We start from the raw sequence: 8,129 nt of genomic DNA on the forward strand, positions 1-8,129 counted from the left end.
GGAAGGGGATTCTTCAGTGTTCAATGCTTCTGAATTGTTAAAAAGGGTAAGAGAATTAACTGGTTAAGAATTAACCGGTTAATTAGGTTGTAAAGGGTAGAAGCTGACTGTCACTAGCTTAGACAGAAAGAAAAAAAGGAATTTAACGGCAGTGCCTAAAGGAGGATTCTAGGAGAGCTCACAGAGAGTCAGCGGAGGAGATGAACAACCAAGGTTCGGGAAGGGTAGGAACCAGGGCAGCTCTGGGGGCCTCCTAGGAATCTATGACCCCTCTCCCAGGTGGTGCAGCCATTAATACAACTCTGCTCCAGAAAATTCTGCACCTCTCCAGTCCATGCTCCATATCCTACGAGAGGGAAGTAACCTAGCTTGAGTGTGTGTCCCTATTTTAACTATGGCCAGGGAAAATGTCAGCAAAGCAAGGCATTCACTCCTTTCGGGGGCTAGCACTAGACCCCAGGGAGAAGAGGTCACTGAAGGTTAGCTCTACTCCAAGAAGCAAGTTCCACTGGAGTGTGGAACTTGTAGGAACCAGTTTGCAAGGTGTGTTCATACATGCAAGAGGGCAATGATGCATGACAGTGCTGTTTCCAGTCCCTCGACCATGAAAGGAAAGTAGCCTGAGAGTTGCAGACTTGAGGGCAGGGTTTTGGGGGCAGTGGAGACTTGACTATATTTGTAGACTGAAGCTGGATCCAGTGGAGTAATAAATTAACATACAAGAAATAAAGGAGGTAATTAATGGCACAGAGACCTAGGTGATGACCAAAGACTTCAGTCAACAATATACTGAATAGAAGGGATCCTGAGGAACTTCATGGAATTACCTATGTATTATATACAAGATAAGAGGAATGTCAAAAAGCAGGGAGATTGGATAGTTGCTCTCTGTATATAGGGGTGTCAGTGAAGTGGTCAGAAGAACTTGAGATGCTTGCACAAGGAGAAACAGTGAAATCAACAGGCTACAAAATCAAAGCAGAGATACACAAAAACTCTTTAGAGATGAAAAACTGGCCTGTGGGCTTGCAAAAGTTTGCTATAACCAAGGTAGATATATTAACTTGACTAAGCAAATAATACATACATTAAAAAGTGATTTTTGTGACTTGGGCACAGAAAAAGCAGGAAAAGTCACTGAAGCCAATGTTAGTAATTTCCATCTTAGCACTGTCCTAGAGAGGCTGTGACCTGGCCAGTATTTCCAGTTCTGTGGGCCAGAAACTTTCTTACCCTGAAGCCATTAAACAGTCAACTTTCTTAGCTTGTATTCTGCATTCAGGACAACCTTCCTCTTGATTATGGTTAAGCTAATCTCTTAAGGAAGACTGTGTTTGTCAGATAAACCTATGCAGTAATTTCTTCTGAAGGAATAAATTAATGGTTTCTGATTTTGATTGGACTTTTCATGGCACTTGGCACTGATCATAAGGACTCCAGAATTCTTATAGTAATTTATTATTGAAAATTAATAAACTGATGCCATGGTTGGAGCAGACACTGCTAATTGCCTATCCAATATCTGTGTTTAGTAACACACTATCACCAGTGGCCCATACATGGCCCTCTTTTATTGATTGATTGTATTAAATTATTGAAAAATAAAAACAATAAAAATTTAAAACTACAAATAACAGATACACTGGTTTGTATTCACTCTTGTAAGTTTGATTATTGTGCAGAACTAACACCTGAGATAAGTGTTTCTTCCTATGGATGAATAAAATTACAGTTCCTGGCCTGCATGGGTAATTTCAGGTCATGATGCTACCTTGGGAGGCCTGTGAGAGGTCATTAGTGGTCTCTTCCTGGTATATGTGCCCTTGGCATCATTGTTTGTTCTCTAGCCACTGTAGAAGAATGCTGATCTTTCTATACTGGCCATTTGGATCAAAGGAAATTGTTGGTGGAACAAACACAACTTGCACAACTTTTATTCCCAGTAAAGAAATTCATTTTTTGACTTTTGTTCACCGGCTTCTATACTAGAGGAAATTAGTTGATTAGCTTTCAAAGGTGCAAAAACTAAAAATAAGTGATAGTAAGCTTTAACTATGTGCCATGTAAGAACTCTGTATCTATGTGCATTATCTCATTGAAGCCACAATAACTGTCCAGCATCTAGTAAGAATAAAATCCCAGTGCCTCAGCCATGTCTCTGTCCTGTGTACTAAATCTTTTGAGTTTACCCAGCAATGACCTCTGTTTCCACCGTACTCCCGATCTTGATCTCTCTTTTTTTTTTCAGTGAATTTCACAGATCCATTTATTCATGCCATGAAGTAAGCGATACTTAAACAAGTGTACAGTCTAACACAGCTTACTTAAATTTACAAGCTGACTGATGTTTCATTTCATGTGTACTCCAGGTAAAGCTGGTTAGTGATGACTGTGAGCAGGCACCGGAGATTTCAAAGCTTTACTTCTTTTATTAGCACTCTGGATTTTATAAATGATGAGGCTCATCAGCCCCATTCCTACCCAAATATCCTGGTAAACTTGAGTATAGTAGAGCTTCATGGGGATCCACACATTTTTAATAATACTTTGAAGCATCTATACCTTTTGCCCACACCTGCCTGTACCTTGCCTCGTGCTCTGTGCACAGCAGCGCCATAGCCCAGGGCGTGTCCCCCTCGGCTGTAATTACTTGATGCTTCCATGTCCTCCTGGGCTATAATTACTCCCACTTGTCACAGCATTCTGGGTGATGACTCAGCCAGGTTCAGGCCAGAGCACAGGTGGGTAGCAACTATCCTGGCAACAGCCCACAAAGCCAGCATCCCCTCCAGGCTTGCCCCAAACTTTCTAGAGGGGAATCACCTCTCTCTTGCACCTCTTCCTGTTACTCTCACACCCAGTGTGGGTCTATGTCCACACTTCCTTCTGTAGATCAGGAGCACCAGATTTGTAGTATCTGAACTATGTCAAGCACCCCAGCTTCTCTTTTCTTCCTCCTGCCCCATTGGAATAGCTACTTTCTTAGTGCTTGCTTACCATCCAAAGAGTAAATCTTTTGTGAAAATCATCCCAGTAGTGTTTGTCTTGGTTTGCTAGAAATTTCCTTAGAAAGATATTTAGTTTCCTTCTAAATATGGCTTATTATTACAGTATTATTATTATTACTAAAATGATGATGGTGATGTCAGTTCATCAGCAGGCCTTTAATAATTTTCTTTGAATGCTATTTTTGTCTTCTGGAGGAGCCTACCTGATCAGATGAAAACAGGAAAGGAGTCAAATATCACCATGATCTAGGTGACCAACTTGTCCCAATTTACCCAGGACTTCTCTGGTTTTAGCACCGAAAGTCCTTCATCCTGGGACACTCCCCTATCCAGAACAAACTGGAACAGTTGGGCATTCTACCACCTCTAAAGAAAAGACCACAGTGAACTTAAGATAATCCTAGAATCACCACTGTCATTAACTGAAAAGTCTTTTCTAAGGAGATTTTTCACTCTCTTATTATTACATGTGATATATTTTATATCTATATCTCCAATAGGATCAGAGAGTGAAATATATATATTATAACAGCTATAATAATACACTTATTGAGTGCTTGCTACATTCTAGGCAATAAGTTAATGCAGCAACTCTGTGAAGTCAGTATTTTTAATTCTAATTTTCAGATAAAGAAAGTGAAATTCAGAATAGTTAGCAAGGTCCCACAACTAGACTTAAACCCATGCACTTAATGATTTATGGATTTAATATTTTATTGTAGGTAAAAAGAGAAAGAGCTGCAACAGTTGGATATCTGAGTAAAGCAAAGGTATAGTTCCATTGCCATTTATCTGGACAAAACAAAGATCAAGATACTGACAATTTATTCTATAAGTTACAACCAAAGTAATTATTTTGGTAAGCTTAAGAGGATACTCCCTTCACACAAAGTCCAACCTTAAATCACATCATTTTAAGGGTGAAATACTAGAAGCATTCTATTAAAGTCGGCAAGAAGACATGCTTGCTATCATTGTTATTCAATTATATCCTAGAAGTTTTAGGCTCTAAAATAAAAAGTTTCAAAATGTTAAATAAATAAATATTAGGTGTCAGTATAATTATTACTTGCAAATCATGATTGTTTACCCAGAAAAAACTTTTAAAGTCTGCTGAAAAACAGCTAGAACTAATAAAAGACTACATACATATCCAGAAGAATATGCTTCCAAAATTATTAACCTCTGGAAATTTCCAGTTATTGTAGGAGGATTTTGTTTTCCTTTTTTTCCTCATGAAAATGACATGCTAGGGATTAGAGAGGGGCCAAAATAAATATCCTGAGATGTTTATTACGTATCTCAGTGGTAAACTACATTTGAGCTATTGAGCATCGGGCTCATTGGGGAAAAGAGGCATAAGCATTTAGGGTATCCAATCCTCCGAAGGGTGGCTGGGGAGTTCTGTTGCCTGAACTGGAGGTAGAATTGGCCCTTTTGTGCCCCAGAAACAGGAGACTGTTAGACCCAGAAGAGGTCCTAGGGAAAGAAAATGGTTGCAGCTTTGGGTCTGAAAGATGGTAGACACCTGACCCACCCTAACTCCATAATTGGTCCAGCACCCTGGAGGAGTGGCACGGGGGAAGATGATGCACAGGGGAACTGTATTTAGAGAGATCATGTACTTTATTGACAAACTTGGGACAGTTCTTGAGATTGGAAAAGGACCCTTTTAACAATTATCCCAGGTATAAACTGAGGTGGTCCTGGGTCAACCAGCACACATGCTCACCCTTGTGAATGCACCTGGGGCCAGTGTCAGGGGCTGGGTCATGGCTTGCCTAGGCTGGCTGCCACTCTGCAATGGTTGCTGCCTCTCGTGGCTCAGCTGACATTGTTGGATAAGATTGCTGGTGACCTTAGGAGTGTCAATTTCTATCTTCTGGAGGCATTGTTTTCTGGTTCTTGGGTTGCTACGAGACTTGGAGACTGGGGCTTGGGCTCCATATTGCAGGAAAAACTGTTTATATATACATATATATACGTGTATATACACGTATATATAATTATATATATACGTATATATAATTATATATATACGTATATATAGTTATATATATACACATATACATATATATGTGTATATATACGTATCGTGTATATATACCCACGTATATATACTTATATATGTGCATATATGTATATAAGAAATATATATACGTATATAAGTACATATATATACGTATACATGTATACATATATACGTATATAAGTACGTATATATATACTTATATATACCTATATAAATATGTATATACATATATATACGTATATATATATACTTAAATAATGAGATATACTTATCTTTATTTTTTAACTTTCATCTGAGAACATATTTCAATAATAATAGTACACAACTTCCCCAGGCAACACCAGCCTGTGGGTGCAAATAAGGCCATCTTGTTATGAATTCCTAAGGTTTCCTGGCTTATTTTCCCACACGCCATGTGCCCCTAGTCCCTGAGCCTCATCAGGAGGTGTCACATGTGCTTAACTCACTCCGCAATCTGAGCTACTCCTAACTGCTCCCCCCATCAGCAGCCAGCATCCCTACCACTGTCCTGCAAGCATGGAATCCCCAGGCTGCTGAGGCTGAACATTACTGGAAACTGGTAACTATGAGAACCAGTGGTTTCCTATGGGGAACAGGTGTGGGAAGTAAAACTTACTTTTTAACTGTGTGCTCTGTTGCACCTTTGGAAATTTCATCTCATGCATTTATAGCATACTTTCAGAGATAGTAATAATTAAAAAGAAAAGAAAAGCAGTATGGGTAGCCGTAGAGGAGCCAGCTATGTAGCTCCCTGGTTTTTATGTTATATTCTGATTGAAGAAAACAAACTAAGCAGGGCTGCCTGTGAATTAGTGTGTTCCAGAAACAGCCCTGCCATTTTACTTCTCAGTCCTTTCTCTGCTTAGAACCAAGGCAAGCATTCAGGAGCCAGGGGCCAGGGGACAGAGTCAAATACCAGCAATGCCCCCATAATTCCCACTTCCTTCTGATGGTTAAAGGCTTTGTACCATGATGAGTCAAGCTCACTCTGCCTGGGGTCTCCGCCTTAGACCCTAAAAAAAAAGACTCCAATAGGTTACCGCAAACTCAACACAGTCCCAAGATGAATGAGCCACCAACATGGAACCCAATGAAGGGTTAGCATAGGTCTAAGAGGGGGAAAGTTATTTTTAAAAAAGATAAATGCTCTGAGAAATACCAATTATAACTGAAAATTGTTCATAAAACCCTGTAAAGGGCTCTTGACTAAATCATTAATATGCATAACCAAACTCCTCCTCTCCTGGGCAGGGTAGTTCAGCCACAAGCATGTATTTATGTAATTAGTGTTATGGTTACAGAAGTGGCCCAGGGAAGACTTAGTTCTTTATTAAAAGAGGGGACTTGTGGTCCCTGTGAAACCTCTGAGAGGTTGGGTAGTATCAAGAGCCATGCGCATTTATAAGAGTGCCTGGCACACAGCAAATGGTTAACACATATTAGCTTTTTAAATTATTGTTATAGTTGTTTCTATAAATTCAAGTGACTTAGAATGTCAAACACTAAAATTGGTTTTTTTAAAACTGGAGTTATTTATCTCAGAAGAGTAATGACAATATCTCGAGGCCATATGTCATAATTTTAGCAATAATTACTCTCTCCAGAATGGCAGGATCTGCTGCTTTTGGAAGATTCTCAAACACTATTTATTCAAGAAGAACAATGATTTAGATCATATTATGGGCTTTGCTGTCACCTAGTGGAAATTTGATTATTATAAACAATTCTCAATAACAAACTCATTCTGAGCTACCGAACCCCCAAGTTTCAGTGATTGCCAGCTGGCTTCCATTGGCTTGCATTCTACAGTTAATTATATTACCAAACCTCTGGTGACAGTCCATCTCTCTGTGGATGCACTTATTTTTAAATCCAAGACAGCAAATCCTGTGTGAGCTGCCTCATTAGAAGCCAGCAGTTGCAGAGAACATTCTTGGCAACTTCCAGATCTCCTGGTCACTGGAATATTGCCAGATCCTAAGAGCAGAGGGACAAACAAACAAACAAACAAACACCTCAAAAAAGCTACCTAATCGCAAGTCCCTTTCTAAAGTGTTTTCATATATTGTCCTACTTTATTACATGGAGTACATTTTTTTCATTTTAAAGATGAGGACATTGCTGCTCAGAAAGGATAACACAGTCAGGAAGTCAAGCAAAAAACAAGAAATTAAAGCTGTCTTCCCACTCCAAATTCAGAACTCTACCTAAGTCAATACCCTGCCTACCAGGATCCTGTGGTTGGCTCATCAGAAATATTAGGAAAGAGGCTAACAGTTTGGTTTCTTTTGAGACAGATCAAGACAGAAGACAAGGCCCTAGGGTTCATAGGCCACTGGGTGGGAAGATACATTCTTTCCCTACTCAGGTTAGTTCCACCACTCTACCCCTGATCTCCTGCCCTCTGGTTCCTCTGGGCTCTTGCTAATGTAACTATCCCCCTTTCCAATTCTCTAACCTCCCCCTCTCCATGGGCAAATCCCTTCCAGCTCTAAAGACCAAATCCAAAAATCTGCCTTCATCTATATTTCTCTCCTGCCCTTCCAAATAGGCTTATCCAAATACTCTTATCACATTTCACCTCCACAATTACTTTTTGTTTTTGTTTTTGTTTTTGAGACAGTGTCTAGCTCTGTTGCCCAGGCTGGAATGCAGTGGCACAACCACAGCTCACTGCAACCTCCGCCTCCCAGGCTCAAGAGATTTTCCCACCTCAGCCTCTCAAGTAGCTGGGACTGCAGACACACACCACCACCAGACATGGCTAATTTTTTTGTATTTTTAGTAGAGATGGGGTTTTGCCATGTTGCCCATGCTGGTCTTGAACTCCTGAGCTCAAAGATATCCGCCTGCCTCAGCCTCCCAAAGTGCTGGGATTACAGGCCTCAACCACTGTGCCCGGCCTACACAATTACTTTTTTTTTTTTTTTTAAAGACAGAGTCTTGCTGTGTTGCCCAGGTTGGACTGCAGTGGCACGATCTCAGCTCAGTGCAACTTCCACCTCCTGGGTTCAAGAGATTCTCCTGCCTCAGCCTCCTGAGCTGTAGCTGGGACTACACGTGCCTGC

The 8,129-nt window shown here is 40.3% G+C and overlaps 1 protein-coding gene across 1 annotated transcript; it reads right to left on the reverse strand.

Moving 5' to 3' along the window:
• Nucleotides 1-2,233: 2,233 nt before the first annotated feature.
• On the reverse strand, nucleotides 2,234-3,466 carry LOC112268080 (ATP synthase subunit ATP5MJ, mitochondrial-like). The gene has a single exon (XM_024448785.2). The coding sequence runs from the start codon at nucleotides 2,554-2,556 to the stop codon at nucleotides 2,380-2,382; it is 177 nt and encodes a 58-aa protein (XP_024304553.1). The 5' UTR covers nucleotides 2,557-3,466; the 3' UTR covers nucleotides 2,234-2,379.
• Between the last annotated feature and the right edge of the window lie 4,663 nt (nucleotides 3,467-8,129).

This window comes from Homo sapiens, chromosome 11 (genome assembly GCF_000001405.40).
Source record: "Homo sapiens chromosome 11, GRCh38.p14 Primary Assembly".
Classification (NCBI taxonomy): Eukaryota; Metazoa; Chordata; class Mammalia; order Primates; family Hominidae; genus Homo; species Homo sapiens.

Excerpts from the sequence above, each read along its gene's own strand:
- LOC112268080 (XM_024448785.2), bottom strand. The coding sequence starts at position 2,556 with ATGCTTCAAAGTATTATTAAAAATGTGTGGATCCCCATGAAGCTCTAC.